We start from the raw sequence: 26,125 nt of genomic DNA, 5'->3' as shown, positions 1-26,125 counted from the left end.
TGTGAATTTTTAGATAAATAAAAAATGACTTCAACAAAATTTTGCTCTTGTAAAGCTTTAGGCTATGATCCGAGATCCCCCAAGGTACTCAAATACTCCTTTATGCTGGTTGAGGAACTCTGATGGAAAAGTCTAAACTCTTAATTTGCTGCTTAGGTAATGCAAATCTAACCCCTGTTTGACAAATAGGAAAGCTGGTATCTAGAGAAAAGAAGCCATTTACTCAATATCACAAAATCACAGCCACAGCTAGACAGACCTCTTTGACTTCTAACAAAGGATATGCTATCTTAGTTACCCTTAAGGAATTTGGTTAACATGATCACAGGTCTATCTACATACACATACACACCTGCTATCTTAGAAGTTGATTTGCCTAAATGAAAAATACTCAAAATATCTCAAAATACTTAAATTGACTCTTCTACTGCCTAAGTGTTGCCCCAGTGAGAGTTCCTATCTTTGGGATATTATTAATAACTCTTTTAGGCCTTGTTGATCTAATCTGCTAAATAATGGGCAATTAGTTTGGTTGCTCAGGGCAACATGTGAATGAGACCAAGGTCAAGGGTATGATCCCCTTAGGACCTGCTGGCTTCCTACAGATGCATTTCATTCCAAAACTGCTGTCTACACCCCTAGCCAAAGCCAAACAGCTTGCAAACAAATGTAGCTGTCATAAAAAGAGCTGCAAGAACTTTGCTCATTAAAATAGTAACAGCAGCGGCAGCAGCAATTTTTCACAACCTAATATACACAGGAAAGAATATATTAATAACATTTCCATGGAGCACAAATAAAAATAAAATCACTAATAAAAATTAAAACATCTTGCCCCTCCTCCCAAGGTCTATGAGGGAAAAGGAAATAGCCTCTCTTTACCCAACTAGGTTTCTTGGGTCTTCAAGTGGAAAGTGTGTGAAACCAAGATAAGAGGGAATCAAACAGAATGTCTGATCTTCAATTTTCAGGGCCGGGAATCCTCCCTGTGGCATCTTTCACACACTGTTTTCGAATGCTGCTTATCCTGAGTCACGTTTGGCTCCCACTGAGAGTGAGCTGTGGAGGGTAGAGAAGTGTCTGATACTTCTTTGCCTCCCCTTCAGAACTTCATAACAGTCACACCTGTTTGACATTTGAAGGCCTTTACTTTAACATACATTTTCTCATTGACTAGGCCCCCAATAAATATGGTTGGTTGACGGAAAATGGGTAAGGAGATCTCTAGAACAAAAAAGAAATTGGAATTTGACCAAAATAACAGACCGGGTACTTGCCATTGGGGCTGTCAGCTGGGAAACCCCATGCCCCATGTCCTCTTGGCCTCTGTGCAGTACATTCACACATCCCAGCAGAGCAGGCAGGTCAGGGCAGAAAAAAGGAAGGGGGGCCTTGAATCCAGACTGAACATATGCTGGCATATTCAGAGTCCTCTGCCCACTTTATGTGAGGGGATAAAGGTACAGAATGAAAAGCCATTGTACTTCTCAGCAATGAGGTGTTAACTTCAAAGCTTCATTGGGGCCTTTTAAATGGTAGGAGTTATTGCTTCAACAAATCTCAAATAAATCCGAAGGACGTTTTATTAACCCCTCTCAGAGTTCTTTCTATTGGAACATGTAATACACAAGACCTATGTGGAGCTGCTCTCCCCTGGTAACCAAGAATCTTCTCCCCCTTTTAAACGTTTTGGCTGCCCCCTTCCCAACAGCTCTATTATTTAATTTCCTATTTTACTTCCGTTCCAATAGCATTTATTTTCTATATCACTCTTTTGGACCCTTACTCACTCCCTTATTGAATTATTAGCTGTTTCTTAGTCTGTTTTCTCCAACTATAAAGTCAGCTTTGGATGGTAAAGAATATGTTTTCCTCTCATATCCCTCTTGGAACCTAGTACATTGTAAGAGGCTAAAATGAAAAAAAAAATGTCAGTGCATGGTTGGATGGATAAATGAATACGTAAATGAGTCTAAGGATTGGGAACTCTGTACAATAACTCTGTACAGTTTTAACACAAAAGGAAAAGATATGAAAAGCATTGAGCAATGCTGACATCAAACCTAAAATGTAATTCAAATACATTCCATACCTATAAAACCTTATACAACTCTCTTTAAAGAGCATTCAAAGCTATTCCCAAGCATTATTGCATCACTTGACCTCACATTGCAGACAGGAGCCCCCAAAACAGCAGTTGACACTAGTAAACGGATGCCTCTGCTTTGCTTCCACTGTTATTTCCTCTTCACTCCCAGCACCTGTCCTGCCTCCCAGCCAGTATCTGGGTGTAGATCCACACTAGGGAGCCCTGGGGAGACTAGATGAAGGGGAAAGAGGGCCAGGCCAGAAACCCATGGCCTGCTGTTAGGTAAGCACACTCGTCCTTCCTTATGATCCTGGGTTAATCGCTGCCACTAAGATCATAATCTTTATTTGGAGTGAATAGTTTAAAGGAACAGAGAGTGAAACTAGCATCTTGTTTGAATTTTTTTAGACTAGTATACAGAAGCAGAAGTCAGAGTCATCAAGAATCATAGATGAGTTCTATAGATGAGTTTTATAGACACGGAAACCTGCAGGCATGGTAGATCTGAGCGGCAACACGAGACTCCAACATGGTTCTCTGTCCTAGCTCCAGCATTCTATTCTACCTCTGCACCCTGACAGAGCATGCAGGGTGCAGAGGAAAACATAGAGGGTCTGCCTTGAGCTTCCTGAGATCTGCATTCTATGAAAACACACATGAAAAGGGAAATTCTTCCACTTACTGCCTTTTTAAGTCACACAGGCAGCAGGGCCTTAAAACAAGAGTGTATTACCCCTTACTCAAGCATAGGCCAGCCACCTTTCAAAAAGCATATCTGAGCAATTCTGTAATGAAGGGGTGAAAAGGAAGGAGGCTATGGGCATATTCAGAGTCCTCTGCCCTATTTCAAAGTCATATCCCACTGCTCCTAAGCATGGCCCCTCTTCCTGGTGGAGTGATTATATACTCAGGACACTCACGGGAGCTTTGCCCATGCTCTCCCCAGCACCCATGGTTTTCTCTCTTCTCTCTGCCAGACCAAAGTAAGCGAGCTCTGGCTCAAAGCTCACCACTACACAAGGATTTCCTGGGCACACAAATTCTTACCATAATATTTCATTTACCAAACTAACCTTGGACATTTATGTAGATAAATCTTACTGCTGCACACATTCCTAAGTATTATCATTGGTTTTAGATAAGAATTTTCATTTTCCAACTAAAGAGGAAGCAAATGAAGAGGAAGAACCACATATTCTTCTTCCAGATCCTACCTTATAGTATGGTGCTGAGAAGACAGATGCTTCAAAAAATTTTGCAAAGCAGATGAATTACTACCAAAGTCTCAAGGAGGCAAACACGACAGAGGTAGAAATGCTATGGATAAACATTATTCAAAAGTCAAATGTAGACTATATGCAAAATATTACTTTGCATTTTCCACACTGAGGTTCTAAGGGACCAATTTTCTAAATTTCCCTGAATTTCTCCCCTCACACTAAAAAATGACCAACTATCCATCACTAACTTAGTTTTACTTTTCATTTCATTAGATAATAATTAGGAAAATATACCATATATAGAAGACATGCAATGGATCATGCTGATGGAGAAGAAACCAGCAAAATGAGATTGTAAAATCATTTTAAGATAATGAAATGACCAGCAAACTCCATTCTTTTGCAAAAGAGAGGGAAAGTCCCTCGACTATCCAGTCTAAATATTTGTTTTCTGTGTTGTAATGAATTGTACTTTTCCACTGCATGCTCACAAATTCTGAAAGAACTAGCTGATCCTAAGGCTAAGAAAGTATGTTATGCTGAAGGAAAAAGAGAGAGAGAGAGAGAAAAAAAAACCTGGCAATTTTCAGAAAATTCAGCCATTCCTTAAACCCACCCAAATTTTGAGGATATTGTTGGAAGAATATATTTCCTTTTATAAAGGGAAAGGGGGCAGGCAGTAGATGTGTGAGTGAGTGTGTATGCATACAGGGAGGGAGAGTAAGGGAAGGAACGAGCCAAAGATGGAGGGGGAGAGAAAAGGGAGGAAAAATGAGAGAGATCTTCCTGCTAGGCCTTGATTAAGAACTTTTTAAATCCTAGGAAGGATGGATAGTCTTTGAAACCAGATCCACTGCAGGAAGGAGGCCAGCACCCAGGACACCGTGTCTTTCAGAAGGGGCCACCCACGGTGCCGTGGCAGTCATATGACTGCCCTGTCACATCCTGAAGCCATTTCCAGCCCATGCACACGTCTGTGCTCCCATTTAGAGAGGATGGGATATATTGGGAACACATATGGAAACACTTTCAGAGAATCAGTTTCCATGAAATTCATAATGAGCCAAGTGGCTTCAGATGTGGTTGCGTTCCTCCGATTAGCCAGCCAAAAAAAAAAAGGAAAAAAGGAGGAAAAAAGGGACAAATCCACCCTTTCAGACCTTATTTCAGTTTCAGAAAAATTAAAAACCACTAATGACTTATGGCTACCAAAACATGGAGCCAAATTAGGAGAGAAGGAACTAGGAAAATGAGGGAGAGAGGTTTAAAAGTGATAGCCTTTCCCTCCTAAAAATAACAGCTTAGATATTGGTAATCTTATCTTAAATCAGAGAGAGCCTTTCCTGCGATGGTATCTGCCTGGAGTGGCATAATTAATTTTCTGACATCCTGGCAGAAGGTTGTACACATGTGCAAATGAGGGGGTGGGAGGTGGCGGGGAGATGGCGAGCGAGGCAGAGGCTACAAGACCAACTCTTATTTGATAACATATGTGGTCAATTAAGATTATTTTAAAAATTGCAAACTAAATGATAAATTGTTCCTAAGTAAATCTTTCAAAAAAGCCAGAATTCAGACAGGACAGACTGGTATTTTCCTGTGGCCTGCGCTAGTGGTAACTTGGTCTATATTAAAAGCAGAAATTTATGAACTGGTTGAGATGTTATATATTAGACACCAAAGCCTAACTGATAGGAAGGCATGAAATACAAGAAGTGGACAAATGGAGAAGGGTTTTTAAAGGGGGACATTTAACTGATATTAGTAAGTTAAAACGTTATTTATATATTAAAACAAAAACATACATATTCTAAAATAAAATTCACATACATTCTCAGATAAAACAAGAGACTTGAAAATATTCTCTTTGGGGACCTGGGGTTGTTTTGGGTTATGCCAGCAGATCAGGGAGAGCAGGGATAGTGAAGGAGCCCTTGAGTTTCCTCTGCCCTTTGAGGCGCTCCCGTGGAAAAATCTGCGCAGCGTTTCTTTCAGGCTTGGTAGCAAGCCTGAAGCCCTGGTGCAGGAATGTTCTGACTTGAAGCTGCTTGATGATGGGCTGGGAACTAGAACTGCCTATTGCTTAACAGACTAGTCAGTCGCTTTTCCCTAACCATATGAATCCTATAAGTGATGGAATAGCCACAGCATCCCATGGTGTTAGCAAAAATTGACTAAGAGGAAAGAGTGGCTAACCAAACAGCTGGGATGCCACAGCTCAGATCTGCAGAAGTACTCGATCAAAGCACTCCCACTGCCATTTTGTCATTAAATCCTCTGTAAGGTAGCAATGCCACTGACTATACTATATGAATGGCAAACTCAAGCTCAAAAAAAGTGATTTCGTCGAAGTTACAGATCAGTACATGGTAGCCCAAGACCTGGCCCCAGACTTGTGGGGGCTTTGCTGTCACTGTCTCCCCTAAGGTGCAGGGATTCGGGGTCATTTTCATGTGAATCTAGCAGCCTGGCCATGGCTACCTGGAGGGCAATGATGAAAAGTGTTCTGACCAATTATCACTGACAGCCCTGGGATGGAGGTGGAATGGGAGGCAGACGCATGCACTCATTAGCCATGCTTGACCCAGCCCCAGAATTCTGATATTGTCTTTACCACTGGTGTTCTGAATGATATGAAGCAAACCATGTTTTATATTCCTTAGGTAAACTCATTGCATGAGACTCTTGTAAGCAGGAATTGGTAACAGTACACAGCAAATAGCAAACATTTCCATCCTAAAAGGGCATTCCTCCTTACCCGCACTATTTGAACTAGTAGAGCCAGAGAAGAAGGAAACCGAAAAGATTGGGTCTCCAAGCTAGAAAATACATAAATTGAGAATCAAAATCTTGAAATTCGTGATTAACCCCACACACCCAGCTGCAGGTCCAGCCAAACTCTTCTGTAAAAAAACCATAACTGAGAAGAGAGATGCTGGTTGAGGTAGGAAAAGACTATGAAATGAATAATCACCACAAAGCCCAATGTTTTCAGATAGAGTTTGAAGAGTTCTGGTTGGACTCTGCTTCTTAAAGTAGGACTCAAGCTGCTCCTTTAAATCTAAAACCAACCCAATCTAAGACTACACCTGTAACTGAGACTAGCACTGGTCCAGGAGAGATGCCGGGGAAAAGGAAGAGTCCGCTGCAGGCAGCGGCTGTTTTCAAGGCCGAATCACACAAAACCTGACAAGCTGGGGGCACTATTTTTTTCAAATACAATTTCCCAAAATAGATCTCAAAAGGCTTGGTCCCCAGGTGTGGTCCAACAGCCCTGAGGCCATCCTGGGCCTTAAAGCACGTGGCTCGAATTGCCTGATGCCCCTAGACCTAGGACTTGAACCAGATTACCAAGTGCTGTTCAGTCTCTATAATTCAGCTCCAAAAGATACAGCTACCCCAGGCCTAACGCAATCCATGTTAATCTAGGATCAAAGCCACAGGCTTCAGCCTCAAACTGTATCCTGTGAGGACCTATGCTTATTTTTGCCCTTTCTCCCTCTACAGTCAGATGCAGCCACTTACCTGTGCCCCACTGGAGGCCTGGGCTGACCATGCCCTGGGAGGGGTTCCTGCCCCAGGAGGAAATACATAAGGGGCTTCCGGGTTGTGACAGAAGCTGGCTTTATATTCAAGGTTCACTTTCTGTGTTGCATCTTCTGCTTGGGTGGTTTATCTGGCTTCCTCAATCTTTATCTTGTTTGACTTTCTGGTTCCTCGGGATTTCCTTGTTCATGTTTGCCTACCTGTTCTGTGACTTCACGTCAGGCTTTTTCGCTCAGGTGTGTGTGTGTTTCTAGACTCTGTGTTAAGGGCACACAAACATTTGCAAGAGCAACAATCTTGTCCCAACTTACCTTTCCAGTCTTGTCTCTCATTTTACTTCCATGAACTCTATAATCCAGTCATACCAGACCCTTTTCCATCTTCTGTGCTACCCTACCTTTTCCCACCTTCCTGCCTGGGTTTACATTGGCCCCTCCGCCCTTAGTATCCCACTAGCCCCCTACCCTATCTCAGCTCCTTAAAATTCTAAGCAGCCTTTAAAATCGACCTCACAGTCCCCCTCTGCTGTGAAGCTTCTTCATATATTCCTGCTTTAGCCCACAGTAACCTCCCCTTCCTCTCTGCAGGCAATTAGTTCTTCATTTGTATCTTTCTTTTTCTTTCTTTTTTTTTTTTTGAGACAGAGTCTCACTCTGTTGCCCAGGCTAGAGTGCAGTGGCGCAATCTCGGCTCACTGCAAGCTCTGCCTCCCGGGTTCACGCCATTCTTCTGCCTCAGCCTCCCCAGTAGCTGGGACTACAGGCACCCGCCACCACGCCCAGCTAATTCTTTGTATTTTTAGTAGAGATGGGGTTTCACCGTGTTAGCCAGGATGGTCTCGATCTCCTGACCTCGTGATCTGCCCGCCTCGGCCTCCCAAAGTGCTGGGATTACAGGCATGAGCCACTGCCCCCGGCCCATTTGTATCTTTCTTATAAGTGTGCTGGGGAAGCAACAATCGCGCAATCACCTCTATAGCCTTTTTTTTTAATTTAACTTTTAAGTTCAAGGGTACATGTGCAGGTTTGTTACATAGATAAACTTGTGACTCGGAGGTTTGTTATACAGATTATTTCATCGTCCAGGTATTAAGCCTAGCACCCATTAGTTATTTATCCTGATCCTCTCCCTCCTCCCAGCCTCCACCGTCCAATAGGCCCCAGTGTGCACCGTTCCCCTCTATGTGTCCATGTGTTCTCATCATTCAGGCTCCCACGTATAAGAACATGCAGCGGTATTTGGTTTTCTGTTCATGCATTAGTTTGCTAAGGATAATGGTCTCCAGCTCCATCCATCTTACTGCAAAGGACATGATCTTTCTTTTTTATGGCTGTGTTCAACTAGACTTTAAACTGCTTAAAAATGGGAATGCTGTCCTATTTATCTTTAAACACACCATGGCCCCTCTCACAGTTACATACAAAAAGTATTTACATGTGTGTCTAAGGGAAAAATGATGGCAATAGCAGATTTGACCTAAATCCTTGTCTTTCACTGAAATTTGTGTGTGTCATCTGCCTTCTGTCTGTACATCTTCAACTAACTGCCTTTCCTACTTACTCTACCTGTGTTTACCTGAGAGGGTTCAGGTTAGTTGCGGAGCCACAGCTCTGCCCTGACTACCAGTTAGTTCTGTGGTGCGTCTCTTGCTCTCCTCAGTTCCCTGGCTTGCCCTCTTTATCCTATGAACAAAAACTGTTTCTGATTTTTTTCAGTCCCAGCAAACCATCAGGTCCCACATCAACCTACCTCTCAAAAATCATCATGAAATAATAAGGTAACATCTCAGATTTTGCTTTTTAAGTTTTCACTGCTTTTACATACATTTGGTTTTACCTTCACAAAGAGCCTGAGAGGTAGTCAGGATAGGCACCCATTGATAAGGAAGCTTCATCAGAGAAAGAAGGCACCATCTCGAGGACACAGCTCATTAGTGCAGAGCTGAAGTGAACGCGTTGGGTTTCCAATTTGTGTCCTTTTTTCCCCCAATAGAGGTGCCTCATTAGCATCTACTACTTTCCATCCAAACAGAAGTCTCAACGGGAGGTCTGGGCGTGGTGGCTCAGGTCTGTAATCCCAGCACTTTGGGAGGCCCAGGCAGGCAGATCACTTGAGGCCAGGAGTTTGAGACCAGCCTGACCAATATGGTGAAACCCCATCTCTACTAAAAATACAAAAATTAGCCAGGCGTGATGGCGGGCACCTGTAGTCCCAGCTACTCGGGAGGCTGAGGCATGAGAATCACTTGAACCCAGGAGGCGGAGGTTGCAGTGAGCCGAGATCGAGCCACTGCACTCCAGCCTGGATGACAGAGCGAGACTCTGTCTCCAAAAAAAAAAAAAAAAAAAAAAAGTCTCAACAGGGGAAAGGACGGTATTTCTTTAAAAACAGGGCACAGGGCACATTTCAATTGATATTTTTAAAGTGATGACTGGTATGCCTTCTCGCACTGGATGTTTATATCCAGTGACATCAGGAACCAAACTACTACCTTTTATTTAACTGAAAAACTGACTTTGCAAAGAATTTCTTTCTCTTTGTTGTTAGGATTTAGCCTAAAACCATGTACAAGAGTCTTCCTGCTATCCTGAGACAATGCTCCTTATGTAACTTCCGAATCCAAATGTAGTGTTGTAGTAACTCGTTCCTCTGACAGTCTCAGCGTTTTTCCACTCAAGCCCTGCACACAGAATTAACTCAAAACTTCTGCAAGAAAAACGTCCCTTTTAGAGTTTGATTTGGCATCAGTTTCAAAGAGCTGTTTGTATATTTTAGAATATGTAGAATTTTCCTTTGATTGAAAACTCTCTTTTTAACAATGGACAAGAGATGATTTCTCTTCTGAGTGATTTAAACAAAAACAAACACATCTTAGTTACATAGAGCCTTGTTCTCAAAGTGGTCTTTCTGAAAGAAATCAAACCCTACAGATTGTTAAGCATTTGGCAAAAGCCTTCAAACAGCCAAAGCCAAATAGCGAAATTTTCCTTGTTGCAGGAGATAAACAAATACTAGAGCAAATTTTTTAAAAAATAGAACCTCCTTTCACTTTCTACTCTGTTCGATAACATTCCCCTCTCAACACACACACACACACACACACACCCCTTCAGAGGGGTTTCATCTTCAATGTTTATTCCTGGTGCTATAGTAATAAACTCGCCACAAATGGACATTTTCAACATCTGTTTGTGGCTGTTCCCAGACGTCTTGTATTTCTCTGGGACATGAAGCCCTCTGTCTCCCAAGTGTAAACAGACACACCTAATTATGTATTAAGGTGTCTGAGAGGAGCTACTTGTTTTGATGACCGTGAAAAAAAAAAAAAAAAAAAAGAGCCCGGTCTGCTTAGCTAGCTGTGGGACGTGGGACAAACACACAGTAGTCCAGTAGTAGCTCCTCAAACAGTGGAAGTTCTCTGCCTGCCAAGGACAAAATCCAAGTCCTATTTTTCTCAGCCTGAGAATCATGTCCACTGAGTCCACTCCAGATGTGGACCAAAACAGTCAGTGACTGGTCAGGAGAGACAGTGCTGCCACAGATGCAGGGCCACATCTATTTAATCTTTTCATAAGGACTTAATTTTCGGGTGAAAAGAGGAAAGGTGCAGAGGAGGAAGAGGTCATTGGTGGTTCATTTTTTTTCTTCTTCTTCAGGTCACAATGGCCATGGATAGCAATTTTAATACAATGTCAGTAGCCTATGAGAAGAGTAGCAGGATAAAATAATTCTAGAGTGTTGGACTAGCAACTGGAGATGTGGGTTCTGGCCACAGTGCTGTCCCTGCCTCACAGGGTGATCACGGTGGAGTCCCTTTCCCTCCCTGACCCACACATTCCTTGTCAGTAAAAAGAGGGGCGGGGATGAAATCATCTCTGTGGGTTTCCCTGCTCTAAAATTCTGATCCTGCTACATATTGGACAAGTCTGAGAATTCCAAAAATACCTTCAAAAATTCTACTAGAAATACTGTTCCTGCAAAGAATGGTCCCCATTCATTAAAAAGCAGTACTAGTTTTCAAAATGAGGTAATAAAGCTATACATTCAATGTGCAAAAAAAAAAAAAAAAAAAAAAAAATCTAGGTTTTCTATGTACAAAATGTCAATTCAAAAATTTAGGATCTTTTCTAAAAACTAAAAAAATGTAATTGTTAACAACAGTTCCCAACACAGGCCAAAAGAAAATGGGAACACTACTAACTTTTTAAGAAAGTCTTTCATCCTTAAATTTAGCAGTAAAGGAGGTTAAAACTAACACTTCAGGCTCCCATATTCGATGGGAGATACCACGTGAGCTATTTCTCTTTCTTTTCTGTTCTAGATTATTTAAGCAAATTGTTTGATCTGAATTATCCAAAGTTAAATAAATGATTTTTTGTATCAACCTTTCCAGCTCTTGCAAGGTAGAATATATCGTGCAAAATTTAAGTAGCTTTAAATTTCCTCGCCCCACATATAAAACCATATATTTTGAGTTTTGTTTTTTTTTTAGACAGAATCTCACCCTGTTGCCAGACTGGAGTGCAGTGGCGCCATCTCGGCTCACCACAGCCTCTGTCTCCTGGGTTCAAGCGATTCTCCGGCCTCAGCCTCCCAAGTAGCTGGGACTACAGGTGCGCACCACCACGCCTGGCTAATTTTTGTATTTTTAGTAGAGATGCGGTTTCACCATGTTGGCCAGGATGGTCTCGATCTCTTGACCTTGTGATCTGCCCACCTCGGCCTCCCAAAGTGCTGGGATTACAGGTGTGAGCCACCGTGCCTGGCCTATTTTGAGGTTTTAAGATTTCATTAATGTGTACATTTTTAATTTCTAGAATAAAATTTATGTTTACAAAATTGGGAGGTAGATTTTTCCACTATTATTTCTTGTTAGGGATTTGGTCCATTTTACTTTATTTTGGGTTCTCTGATCTGCATCAAACCATGAATTTTGGCTACTTAGTAAGGATTAATGGTGTTATCCAGGTTTGGGCTGGAAAGATCAGTGATAACAAATATTCCTCTTAGGATGATAGCCAACAGGCCTTTGTAGCAAAGTCCGATTCTGATATGGAGACTCCTACAGCAACGCAGAGTAGGGAAAAGCATATTATGTGGAGCTAAAAGACCTGGAATTGAGTTTTCACTCTCTATCCCTTTCACTTGATGACCCTGAACAAATCTCTAAATGTCTCTGAGCCCTCATTTCCTGCTGGCAAACTACTGAGTATAGTAGTATTGATACTTCAATGCGTTGTAATGATTAAATGAAATAATGTCTATGAAAGTGCTTTCTATAGATGTAAAGCACTATCTAAGTATTATTAATATTAAGTCTTGCTATGCATTTATTTTTACTCTCACCTTTGGAGTTAGTTGCTAAAATTCTTCCCATCTTCCCCTGCACTTAATTTGTCTGAGGTTCTAACATGATGTTCTTTATCTGTGAGCTTTAAGTACTTTCCGCCATCAGAAAAGAGCTGTTACAGAGGACCCAATAGTCCTGCTCCTTTTTAATTCCCTCACTCTCTGGAGTTCCTGAAGCAGAGCAGAAGAGTTCAAGGTGCCCTCCTAAGATGCCTCCTCCTTCCTGGGGGAGTCCTCAGTTTGTCTGTACATATTCTGTTGCACATGCCCGAGTTTCCACTTCTCTTGGATGACCAGCAGCATCCTCTGGAGACAGCAGCTTGATAAGCTGCCAGAGTCCACTGTCATCTAACTGCACTGGACCATGGACCTCTTCATATGCAATAGGATACTGTGGGGGAATGCAATAAGCCTAACTCACAGATTGTACTTGTACCAATCTCTTTGTTCTTCCCGTTTCCCTCAGTGTTAACCTGCTTGTTACACTTGTTGGAACTTACTTGCCACATTTTTAGATAACTGAAGGGATTTACCTCCAAATCGCCTTCTATATAACCTAAAGTGGTACTGCTTATTTGATTTTAATGAACTTTTACAAAGATTGTTTTCAAACTTCTAACTAGACATTCTATAATTTGCAGTTTGAGATTTAACCTTTTTATTAAAATGGTGGTAGGAAGACCCCTGGGAGGGGTTCACTTTGGAGAAATAGTTTTTCTCTCTTAGGTACCAGGGAATGTGGTAAAGTGCAGGAGGAAGGCAACTTAGCCATCTGCAGAAGCTGTGGCTTTGCAAGTCCAAAGCTGACACCTCAAATACTAGCTTGCAAAGTCTGCAAATGGGCTGAAAGATAACCACATCTCCAGTTCCCTAGTTTTAATCTATCTCCTAGTTACCTATCTCCTAACCCACCTGTGCGGTGATTTTCACTATTATACCACGGTGTTGTTGGAGTGAAAAAGATCAGTACCAATGCCTTAAGACTGGAGGGGGAGGGCATTAGTATAAGCAAGTCCAGCCACTCATCTGAAGAGGAGGGGAATTCATTACACACATGTGTATTGTCAGGATTCAGACCTCTTGGCTCATGGGGAGAAAGCACGCCTCTTTTCAATAAACTACCCTACCAATTTTATTCCTTTTTAAAGTGACTGTTTTTTTCCAGGGGCTGTTATCTGTTATCTGCTGCTTCTGACTCTAGTGAGAAAATTCACATTACATTTTTTCACCTCCATTCTCTTTTACTATACCCTTCTAAATGAAAGGGAATGCAATAAGCCTAACTCACAGATTGTACTTGTACCAATCTCTTTGTTCTTCCCGTTTCCCTCAATGGGCTGTCAAACCTAGTTTTTAACCAGGGAGAAAGGTTAAAAACTAGGTTTGACAGCCAAAGAAACAGCCAACCCATCATCCGAAGCTCCAATCTATGAAGTTTTTGGAGCTCTGAGAATTATTCTGGATTCCCCATGCTGACACCCTTTGAACTGTATCTTCTATGGAGTCCTTGAGCTTCCAAAACTCAAAATAAATCCATCAAATACATTTTGAGTAGGTTTGGTCACTGGGAAATGTGCTCTCCAGGTCCTGATTTTACTACTCTCCTTTCCTTTAAAACAAACTAACAAATGGCTGTAATAGTTTTCAGTACACACACCTCTGAACTTCAGGATTCCAGAAAGAACAGAAAGCTGTGTCCATGGAGAAATGGAACTTCATTACATTTTAAACAGGAAATATAAGAAAAAGTGTTCATATCTGCATAAGATCTTGAAGCTAACTTCCAGAGCCCCAAATTTAGAGTTTCATGAGGAGGAATCTCCTTTTAGGGCATGGTTGAAGGATCTGAGAATGGAGTGATAGCTTACTACAACTGTGATGCCAACAGGGTTACCTGTTTAAAGCTTTCTCCTATAAGCTTGGCTTGTGGTTATGAGATTCTGCTTAGAACATGTTCCTCATCCCTTATCAATTCAAGTTCCTTGCTATTTAAGATAAGCCCCAATTTCTCAGTCCTCTGAAGAAGCTGTTTGGGTACTGACTCCACAGGGAGGACAAGTGCTGGTTTCTCACCTGGACTGACTTTTCTTGACTGCTGGATATTAGCTCGCCAGCCTGAAGGAACTGATAGCCCCTTGCCTAAGTGTTTCTTCACTTCAGAGCTGTTGCCACGCACTGCCCAGTGTGATCATCTAATGATTGCCTGCAAAGCCAGCCTGGTCACACCTGCATGCATGATGCTTTCCATTGAAGTGCATCTTTTTTTTTTTTGAGACAGAGTCTCCCTCTGTCACCCAGGCTGGAGTGCAGTGGCACAAGCTAGGCTCACTGCAACCTCTGCCTCCTGGATTCACACAATTCTCCTGCCTCAGCCTCCCCAGTAGCTGGGATTACAATTGCGTGCCACCACACCCGACTAATTTTTGTATTTTTAGTAGAGACGGTGTTTCACTGTGTTGGCCAGGCTAATCTTGAACTCCTGACCTCAAATGATCCACCTGCCTAGGTCTCCCAAAGTGCTGGGATTACAGGCTTGAGCCACCGCGCCTGACCTAAAGTGCATTTTAGAAGCAGTAGAAGGAACTGGTGTGTATGAAAGATACAGAAGATACATTTTGAGAATGAGAAGAATGTTGATATGGTTTGGCTGTGTCCCCATCCAAATTTCATCTTGCATTATAGCTTTCATAATCCCCATGTGCCATGGGAGGGACCTGGTGGGAGGTAACTGAATCATGGGGGTGGGTCTCTTCCATACTGTTCTCGTGATAGTGAATAAGTCTCATGAGATCTGATGGTTTTAAAAAGAGGAGTTCCCCTGCCCCCTGTACACATTCTCTTGCCTGCCACCATGTAAGATGTGCCTTTCTCCTCTTTCGCGTTTTGCCATGATTGAGGCTTCCCCAACCATGTGGAACTGTGAGTCCATTAAACCCATCTTTCTTTATAAATTACTCAGTTCTTGGGTATGTCTTTATTAGCAGCATGAGAACAGACTAATACAAACATATAATGTTCTTTCAGTCCCCAAAATTCATCTCATCATTGTACATCATTGTACTAAAATCTGGGTTTGCATGGTGCCAAGGAAGGAAAGCTATTGGAAATCAGAAGATTAACAAAATGTGATTACAAAAACCTAAAAATTTTCAGTCAAACAAAACATTTCAGATCTCAAAATGGATTTCTGGCCTGAAATTTCCAGGTTAATAGTTCTGTATTTGTTTAATAAATCAAGTAACTCCTGAATTACCACTTCACTTAGGGTGTATAATAGTGTCTAAACATTAATTAAACTTGTAAAAGATGCAATATTATTCCTTTTAAAGTAAACTAACAATTGGGAGAAAACATTACTAAAGCATTTTGATGATACCAGCAAAATTCTCTCTCTACTCCAGTGTCTCTATCCCCACCATTTCCAGGGAAGCCCAAGCCACTGTCCTCTCACTAGGGTGACTGCCAAGCCTCCTAACCTCCTCCCTACCCCTGTTACAATTCTCCACCCAACCGCCAGAGTGAGCTTTGAAAAATATAAATCAGTGTATATCAAGACCCTGCTTAAAATCTGCCAAATGGCTTAACACTGCACATAACAGCAAATCTAAACCTCTGATCTTGACCTGTAGTGGCCCTGCATAACTTGGACCCAGCCTATCTCTCTAACTTCATGTCATCTACACACTCCAGCCACTGAGCATTCTTCTCAAACACCCCACAGTCTTCCCACCTCTGGGCCCTTGCACTCGATTTTCCCACTGCCTAGAATGCCCTCCCTTCCTCCTGATCTTGACAGGGCTAACTCTTTTTTGTTAATTAGATCTCAGCTTCAATATTGACTCCTCATCACATCACTCTATTTTACTTCTTTCATAGTACATATCCCTAGATAATATTTTATTATTTTCAATTGCCCACCCTTTGGTAGTAATAGCTAACATTTATTGAGCATCAGGCATTATTCTAAGGGCTTTACATATATTAACTATCCTTTAGTCCCCATAACAACCTATTAAAGCAGGTATTATTATTATTAGATTATATGGTCATTTAACTGATGCGGAAATTGAGGTACAAACAAGCTAAGTTACCTCCCCACAGGCACAAAGCTAGTGAGTAAAGAAGCCTGAATTTAGACCTGGCTCTAAAGACTGTTTAATTATTATGCCATATGCCAATAGAAAAAGTTCCAAGAGCCTTTCTGTCTTGATCATCAGAGTATCTCCAGTGGGCAGAACGGTGCTCAATAAATGAGTAACTTTAATGTTGGCAATAACTTGTGTTAAATATTTTTATCATGCAGTCATAAAACACTATGACAGTAATGTTTCATTAAGAGAAATCTCGTTATGATTCAAATCATATTTTCTTTAAATAGATCTAATTTCTTTAATATAGAAAGCCTGGTCCTGTGATCACATTTATTCTGTTATTAACAGAATTCGTCTGTTTTAATAACTCTTAGCTTATAAGGTTCTCATTTCTCCAGTAAGATAAATTATCACTTACAAATGTACCATTCTCATGTAAAGAGGGTTAACAAATAAATTACATAAAACCATGCAAGGGTATGAGAGATGTCAATAAAATTCCTTAATTTTACATTAAATCTGGGATTTCAAAAATTGTCTATGGATTCTGACACACATGCACATATATAAGGCTTCACCTTAAAGACAGGTTCAGCTGTGGTCAGGTATCAAGATCTAAATGTACAGTTTTTTGGTATTAAATAACCTGATCTTAGGTTGCTTCTCATCAGAATCTCTTAACTGAAATACAAAACAAAACCTTTCCTGACATCTATCATAGTTGCTCCTGTTAATTTAGTTCTTCGATTAAATGCTATATTAGCCTTTAGTGTTATTATTGATGGTGGTATTTAGTTTTCTTTTTTTTTTTTGGAGACAGAGTCTCTGTCACCCAGGCTGGGGTGCAGTGGCACAATCTCAGCTTACTGCAGCCTCAGCCTCCCTGGCTCAAGCAATCCTCCCACCTCAGTCTCCCAAGTAGCTGGGACTACAGGCACGCACCACCCCCAGCTAATTTTTGTATTTTCTGTAGAGACGGGGTTTCGCCATGTTGCTGAGGCTGGTCTCCAACTGCTGGGCTCAAGCAAACTGCCCGCCTCAGCCTCCCAAAGTGCTAGGATTACAAATGTGAGCCACCGCACCCAGCCGGAATTTAGTTTTCTGATGTGATGATTACTAAATCTCTCCTGTAAGAAAACCTGCCCTTTCAGGCCTTAATTTAGAATCACAGACATCAAAAACTTTATGATATACCTTGGGGAAAAACTAGCCCAATTAACTCAGTTCACGCTTAAAGAAACTAAGACCTACAGAAGTTAGTGACCTGCTCAAGAACTCAGAGGCACATCTGAAATTCAAAAGAGAGGCTCCTCAATTCCCAGCCAACTCCTATTTCCAATACACTGTCAACGATGCTATGAATGTTTAATTACCACTCTACATGCTTGAGTCATGGAAGAAATGTTTTCCTGATAAACCAAATCAATTCAGCACAATTTTATTGAGCAACTGCTGTTTTATCAGTGTTGAACTCAATTCTTCTTTGGGAGGCAAGACCCAATTCAAAAGTTTCAACCACCTACTGGATTAAAGAGGTTATGTGAGGTTTTATTAACCCTTCAAAGAGTATCTGTGGCACCTGCCAATTTCTAAGGTTAGAGAACAACTTTAACTTTCTTTGTTAACTGCTCTGAGGGCCAAACTCTTTCCTTTTTGGAATCTTTTAGGTCAGTTCTCTACTATATCTTTTGAGACTGAGTCTCACTCTGTCACCCAGGCTGGAGTGCAATTACGCAATCTTGGCTCACTGCAACCTCCACCTCCCGGGTTCAAGCAATTCTCCTGCCTCAGCCTCCCAAGTAGCTGGGACTACAGGCGTGCGCCACCACACCCAGCTAATTGTTGTATTTATAGTAGATACGAGGTTTCACCATTTTGGCCAGAATGGTCTCAATCTCTTGACCTTGTGATCCACCCACCTCGGCCTCTCAAAGTGCTGGAATTACAAGCATGAGCCACCGCGCCCAGCCTCTACCATATCTTTAAGCCACACTGAGAATGTACTGTTTTCCTAAGGTGTAGTTTGGGAGCTTACAAGTTTGTTTTCTTTAATGATGAGTACCATAACGCTATTATCAGACTTTTTCCTCTTTTCCAAACCTGTTTTTATTTCCTTTGTAGTTTTTATTTAGAAAAGGTTCTTCTTAATTATGTACGGATTTATTGTGACCACATCAATGGGTTTATTTATTGATTTTTCATGAATCACTGCTCTCCTTGGCACAGGTCAGGGTGTGTTTGTAACCATCATTATATGTGTTATTTTTATTCCATCAACTATAGCATTGTTACTAATTACCACAGAGAGCTGGAACGGTGACCGTTTTGGGTACAGCGCGAGATGGCGATAAGCTTTAGATACAAAAGCACAGGGCTCCTCCTAGTCTCCCATGCTTCGCTGCATAGTTATGGGTTGATCACTTAAGGTCACAGTCTCTCTGGAAAATACATGGCATGTTTCTACTTAAAAAAAAATCCTCTGAGATATTTAGGAACAATGTTGCCTGTGCAGCATTTTATTTTTATTTACATTACTTTCATGGATTTGAAATTCATTAATTTATTGAGTCATATAAAAAAATTTAGGCAGTATAGTCAAATGGGGTCCTAGATTTGCCTCAGACCAAGTTACTTAAATTCTGACCCAGTTCCAGAAAATACGCCTTCCTGTTTGCATTTCAGGAAAACAAAAAAGAAGTCTGAAAATGACTGAACTATTTGAAACAAAGTGTTGTCCACAAATGACTTTGAACAATTCAAATTAAAGTTCTGTCATTTGCATTTTATCATATAAGATATTTTAATTAGAAAAAAGCTTTTTACTTGTTTAGTTATCTCTTTTTTTTTGTTTTCGTTTTTGGTTTTTTTTTGAGATGCAGTCTCGCTCTGTTGCTAGGCTAGAGTGCAGTGGCATGATCTCAGCTCACTGCAACCTCCGCCTCCCGGGTTCAAGTGATTCTCCTGCATCAACTTCCTGAGTAGCTGGGATTACAGACATGTGCCACCACGCCTGGCTAATTTTGTATTTTTAGTAGAGATGGGGTTTTACCATGTTGGCCAGGATGGTCTCTATCTCCTGACCTCGTGATCCATCCACCTCTGCCTCCCAAAGTCCTGGGATTACAGGCGTGAGCCACCGCACCAGCCTAGTTATCTATTTTCTAAGATTTCCCCTTATAACTATTTCTGCATGTTAACAAACCTAAGAGCTAATTTAAAATAATCATGCAGGCCGGGCGCAGTGGCTCATGCCTGTAATCCCAGCACTTTGGGAGGCCGAGGCGGGTAGATCACCTGAGGTCAGGAGTTTGAGACCAGCCTGGCCAACATGGTGAAACCCCGTCTCTACTAATAATTTTTGTATTAGTTAGCCAGGCATCGTGGCAGGTGCCTATAATCCCAGCTACCTAGAAAGGCTGAGTTAGGGGAATCGCTTGAACCTGGGAGGGGGAGGTTGCAGTGAGCTGAGATCATGCCACTACACTCCAGCCTGGGCAATAAGAGAAAACTCTGTCTCAAAAAATTAATAAAATAATAATAATAATCATGCAGTTCCTCTGTCCCCTTTCTATCAACAGTGATCAGTTAATGTTTCCTGAGAAATCAATGCTTAATGAAGTAATCAAATAATATTAAGACATAGGGATGTCAGTGATCCTATTTTTCCTGAAAAAAGTATGAACTTGGCTAATATTTATTAATATCACAAATAATAGACCTGTCAAGACTATTTATATGTATATTCATTATCAATATAATGAGTAGGTGGATTCATGCATATGGGGATGTATATGCTGAAGCAGAGCAACAACGTTGTTTGATTTTGTCAGAGTTGCTGGCATATTCCGTAACATATTGCATAGTGAGACCATACATGCATTTACGAAATATGAAATAAAGGTAAACAGAAATTGTCTTAGTCTCCTATAGAATCTTACTTCTAGATCTATTAGCCAATTTCTAATAATAGTCACAGCATAAGAACCCTGAAGCATGCAGCACTGATTCCTGGGTAGACTTTTCTACTGAATGCTAGTACTTCCCACGACATTATGCATGCTGAGCATCGGAGTAGGAGTTAGAGATAGAAAGGGATTAGAAGGCCAGGCCCTGGGCCAATGGGAGTCTTCAATCTAGCAGGAGCTCTGGAGAGATAGCAAAGGATTAGAAGACTAGGCCCCTGACTTAGGGGAGCTTTCAGTCTAGCTGGGAAAAGACAAGATCCTCCATATCCTTGTCACATCTTAAGAAACATGAAGCCACACACATCAAACATACGTAATTTTTAAAAGTTGAAAACGTAATTGTTGAAGCAATTCGGAGTGAAAGTATAATCTGAGCTGAATGGGATTGTTGTTTTTTTTTAATTTCCTAATGCAGATGGCTTTAAGTTGGTTACGGATGTGAATTATTATAATAGAGCAAAGGAACAAAAGAGATCTCCTTTCCTAAAATCCTGAGCATTCTTTGCATGTTTTTGGCATCTACATGGGCTAGTACTATAATGTAACCATCACATTTGCTTTATGTTGTATCCTAAATGAGACTGAAAGCTTCTTGAAGGCAGAGACTATATCTTCTATTTCTTTTTTTACTTCTCACCTGCATAAGCACATTTTAAGTACATGCCAAATATTTGTTGAGCTGACTTGAAATGACTGAAATGAATGAAAGAAAAGCATTCCAAACAGGAAGGAATGCCAGGGACTACTAATGTATTAGATGACATTATTAAAATCTAAAATGTTCTAGACAGGCAGAAATTATTACCTGAATTAAATAAGGTAAAACCTAACAGGGATAACTGTAAAGTATCATATTTGGATCTACAAAAAAACAGCTCTAAAAGTAAATAATTGGAGAAATGCAGATTGACAGAAGTGGCAAATAAGAGAAAACAGTGTAATATGGTCACCAAAAGAACAAAGGCCACTAAAGCCTGCACTACCAGAGCCTGAGAAGAGAGGAATAGTTTGGTTCTGGGTACGAGGCGTTAAGATGGACACTAATGAACTGTGTCAGAGACCACTGACCAGACCAGTAGGATGACCTGCAACCATACTATACAGAAAGCGTCAAAAAAAACAGGCAGAGGTGGGGCATACAGGAAAAATTCAGCCTGAAAAAGATAAGACTATGAGAAATGATAGCTGTCAAAACCCTATCTTTTGCTTTGTTGTAGAGGAATAGCTGTGCTTCAGTTTACAGATTAGTTAACATAATTTCTATCATTTTCTCAGAAAAGAGCTTTGACACTTTATTACATGATGGCTATAATTAATGTCAGACTCTAAAGTGGAAATCAAAAATTCTATTTGATCATTTGGTTTCAAGCTGGACCTAAAATATGTTTTGGCATTGTTACTAACTGTTAGCAGCAAGTTCTGGAAACAGATACAGTCTTGATATGTGTTCTAAATATGAAACATATTGCAAAAAGACTTGGAGATAAAAATATATACTGCTTATGCACACTCTTACTGTGCTATTTCCTGTCCTTATCAGCAATGAAAGTTTCTCTTGTTTTGCCCTTTCTTTGTTGTTCCAGGTGAACAAAATCTTTTTTCTTCCTTTTTTTCTCCTACATATCTATCTTCCTCTTTTTTTTAAAATCTTCTTTCCCACTAATACTTGTTTCATTAAACATTCTTAAGCACCTACCATGTGCCAAAAACTGTGCTAGGTTATAAGGATTCAAGAATATGCAAAACATAGCCACTGTCCTTAAGAAGCTTATAAAAGGAGAATGGCATGCAATTAAATTTTTATGCTAAAGGACAATATGGGCTGGGCATGAGGCCTCACACCTGTAATCCCAGCACTTTGGGAGGCCGAGGCGGGTGGATCAACTGAGGTCAGGAGTTCGCAGCCTGGCCAACATAGAGAAATCCGTCTCTACTAACACTACAAAAATTAGCTGGGTGTGGTGGCTCATGCCTGCAATCCCAGCTACTCGGGAGGGTAAGGCAAGAGAATCTTTTGAACCTGGGAGGCAGAGGCTGTAGTGAGCCGAGATCACACCACTGCACTCCAGCCTGGGCAACAGAGTGAGACTCTGTCTCAAAAAAAAAAGAAAGATATGTACACATTAGAGGTGTGTCCAAAGTACAGAAATGACATACAAATGGGTGTAGATGAGACAGCGATTCACTTTGAAGAAAGTGGTGTTTGGGAAAGGCATGCCCAAGAGGGAACAACAGGGCCCTGCCCCCCAGTGCAAAGAAATGGGCTGACATGGAAGTGGGAAATAGCACAGCACACTTAAGGAATGCCAGGCATTTTTAAGAGAAAAGGCCCCCCTTTACCTAGGAGAGTCAAATATTTTGGGAGACAACTAAGCAGTCACATAACTGTATTGTTATTTTAACTTGGTATGTTCCGTATTTGAATTGGTATGCATGACCACCAAACAGTAGATGTTCAGGAATTTATCTATGGGCAAGATTAGGAAAAAAATATTTAATTTAAAAATGCACCCAAGATACAGAAAACCATTTGGTGACAATTGCTATGATAGAAAACATGCTTCTCCAGGAAGAAATGTGTGAAATGCTTTCTAATAGGAACGACCACTGACAAAGTCAGCAACAAAAGGAAAATGGAAGATAAGATAGTATCCTCAGGTTCAGGTAGAGCACCTTTGATGATTTTAAAAATATAATAGCATCCGGTCGGGTGCAGTGGCTCACACCTGTAATCCCAGCACTTTGGGAGGCCAAGGCAGGTGGATCACCTGAGGTCAGGAGTTCGAGACCACTCTGGCCAACATGGTGGAACCCCATCACTACTAAAAATACAAAAAAATAGCCAGATGTGGTGGTGGGTGCCTGTAATCCCAGTCTGTAATCGGGAGGGTGAGGCAAGAGAATTGCTTGAATCTGGGAGGCAGAGGTTGCCATGAGCCGAGATCATGCCATTGCACTCCAGCAGGGGCAACAAGAGCGAACTCCATCTCAAATATATACACACACACACACACACACACACACACACACACACACACACACACATATATATATATATATAATAGCATCCTTCCAATGGAATGCAATTCGGGGTAGAATGAAATGCATTAATAAGCCATGAAAAGACATGGAGGAACTTAAATGCATATTACCAAGTGAAAGAAGCCAGTCTGCAAAAGCTACTTACTTATTGTATGATTCCAACTATATAACACTGGAAAAGGCAAAACTATAGAGACAGTTAAAAAAAAAGAATCTGTGGTTGCCAGGGGCTCAGGAAAAGAGAAGGGAAAGAGAGATGAACAGGTGGTGTACAGGGGATTTTTAGGGTAATGAAACTACTCCTTATGATTCTGTAATGGTGGACACATGGCATTATGATAAAACCCATAGAACTGCACAACACAAAGAGTGAGCCCTGTGTAAACTATGGACGTTATTTCATAACAATGTATCAATATTGGTTCATCAATTACATCAAACATCACACAAATGCAAGATGTAAATAACAGGAGAAAGTGGGAGATGGTAGGAGGAGAATATAAGAAACTATACATTCTGCTCCATTTTTCTGTAAACTTAAAATCTCTCAAAAGAATAAAGTATTAATTTTAAGACATATACATAAAAGTAATAATGTCGCATGCATTTCTACTCTTTAGAAGATAATTATGCGACCTCCTTTTTCCACTAGCATTTATCTGGTAAGGCAAACTTTACTAAAAGTCCTAAGAACATCAAATCCCTAAACAGATAGCACCTTACTCCTTGCAGAGCCTCTGAGATATATGATTCAGCGATTTCTAGTAATTCATTAACATAGGACCACTGAGGCACAATAAATTAACTGTATCTGAGAATGATACAAAGACTCTTTAGTGACAATGAAATGAAAACTCAGGTGTCCTAAGTTAAACTGCGCCCCCTCTTCTCAGACCCCAGTGCACTGCAGAAGCCACTGTATCTATCGTTAGAAAATTAATACTTTGGGTGAAATGAGGTTCATACACTCAAGTTTTCTTTGATGGAAAGGAGATTTCAGCAAATCCTCAATAAAATATATAACCATGTGTTTGCCATCCCTGCAAAAGCATGATTCCTTTCATTACTAAATCTTTTCCCTATGTGTGGGTGGTTGTACATGTGTCAGAAATAAATCCCCACAAAAACAACTGAGAAAAACCATGTAAAAAATCAGAGTCAAACCATGTACACAGGTTTCATTCTGAGCTTTAGTATCTCAGTGTAGCTACAAATAACAGTAATTAATCATACAACCAAGCTTAGTAAACTTTGTGAGCTGGACCAACTATTATCTCCAACTGATCTAGTAGGAATGAAAACCACTTCTTTGGGCCTCAGCAGGAGTAAATCAAAAATTAGAGTAAACGGAGGTCCAGGTAAGATTAGAACACCATCTGCTATGTCAAAAGATAGGCTATTTTTAGGGAAAGCAAGATGAATTTCAACTTATGGAATGCAAAAGTAATCCATCCAATCAGTGGCGATATAATGAAGAATACGGAACATTCAATTTTTGACACAGGGCTTGCCTTTGTTTAGGGTCCATAAAATTTAATAACTTCCCCACTCTGTGGCTTTAAACGGAGAACTTCTTCAAAATAAGAGTTACTCCTATTAAACTTAATTATTTGCCTGTGGCTGCTGTGGCAGAGTATGTCTACCAAACAGGTGGCTCTTAAGAAAGGAATGGTTCTGTAGTAAAAAGTAGATGCTCTAGTGTTTTATTATGGTTGCTTTAACTTTCTGGTTTATTAGTATTAATTGCTGAAGTTTTCCTTTTAACCTTTCTTAAGGCATTCCTCCCTCCTGTGAGTTAAGAGCTGCTCTGCTAAAATAAATGTTCACATATAATTGGCACATTACGAAGCTGCTGGTTTCAAGAACTTGACTCGGTGGACTTGATAGAGACTGGGTTATAAGGGACATTTTAGAATGAACAACCTCAAACTCTACTGGGTTTGAATCCTCCTGACAGACCTTGAGTACTCAAATGGGGTGGGGTTTTTCCACTGGCAATTTCTAGATTTTGTAGTAGTGATAAAATAATTTTTAATAATTGTATTATTAAACTAATGCTTATTCTCCTGACCTTGGAATATTATAGTTTAGCCACCGAAAGTCATAAAACTGGAGACATCTTCAATAGTCCTGTGCAGTTGAGTAAGTGAAAAGTGTTAATATTTACATATTTTGAAATAAGAGATTCAAGACTACTTTCCTAAGCAGAAGAAAAAAATAACCTTACAGAAAGATTAACTCTGTCCTATGTTAACAACAACAACAAACAAAAACCCCATAAATGCAGAGAAGAATCTTCCATACAATCTATAGTGGCAAGCAGGGAGAGGTGGCTCATGTCTGTAATCCCAGCACTTTGGGAGGCCAAGGCAAGAGGATCACTTGAGACCAGGAGTTCGAGACCAGCCCAGGCAACATAGTGAGATCCTGTCCCTATGAAAAATATTGGCCTGGCAAGGTGGTGCAGGCCTTTAGTCCCAGCTACTCAGGAGGCTGAGATGGGGGAATTGTTTAAGCTCAGGAATTCAAGGCTGCAGTGAGCTATGATCACGCCTCTGCATCCCATCCTGAGCAATAGAGCAAGACCCTGTCTCTTAAAAAAAAAAATCTATAGTGACCTCTTTCAGAGTAACTGAGGCAGCCAACATCTATGAATAAGATGCATCTTACCTGTGCATCTTTAACTAACATATCCTAAGTCTCTAAGAAACCTCCAGAAAGCATCAGAAAGGTATAAATCCCTTCTACTTCATTATGCCAAAGAGTGGTACAGACTTAGGTTAATCTAAGCTACTTCACTCAAATGAGTGGGATAGTGGAGGA

The 26,125-nt window shown here is 40.7% G+C and overlaps 1 protein-coding gene across 4 annotated transcripts in view, besides 2 other annotated features; it reads right to left on the bottom strand.

Annotated features, from left to right (window-relative positions):
• The window catches only part of RUNX2 (RUNX family transcription factor 2), a 222,753-nt gene that overhangs the window by 7,987 nt on the left and 188,641 nt on the right, over nucleotides 1-26,125 (bottom strand). The window lies entirely within an intron of this gene.
• Nucleotides 850-1,144: a silencer, noted in NCBI's record as "tiled region #12811; HepG2 Repressive non-DNase unmatched - State 22:ReprW". NCBI's record gives its function as "represses a minimal TATA promoter and a strong SV40 promoter by Sharpr-MPRA in HepG2 cells {active_cell/tissue: HepG2}" and the evidence as "EXISTENCE:reporter gene assay evidence [ECO:0000049][PMID:27701403]".
• Nucleotides 22,323-22,877: an enhancer, noted in NCBI's record as "NANOG-H3K27ac hESC enhancer chr6:45487956-45488510 (GRCh37/hg19 assembly coordinates)". NCBI's record gives its function as "activates a minimal SCP1, AML or CMV promoter by ChIP-STARR-seq in primed H9 embryonic stem cells {active_cell/tissue: H9 hESC(primed)}" and the evidence as "EXISTENCE:reporter gene assay evidence [ECO:0000049][PMID:30033119]".

Source organism: Homo sapiens, chromosome 6, assembly GCF_000001405.40.
Source record: "Homo sapiens chromosome 6, GRCh38.p14 Primary Assembly".
NCBI lineage: Eukaryota > Metazoa > Chordata > Mammalia > Primates > Hominidae > Homo > Homo sapiens.
The sequence above is the reverse complement of the archived record's forward strand: the minus strand, read 5'-3'. Positions and strand labels throughout refer to the sequence as shown.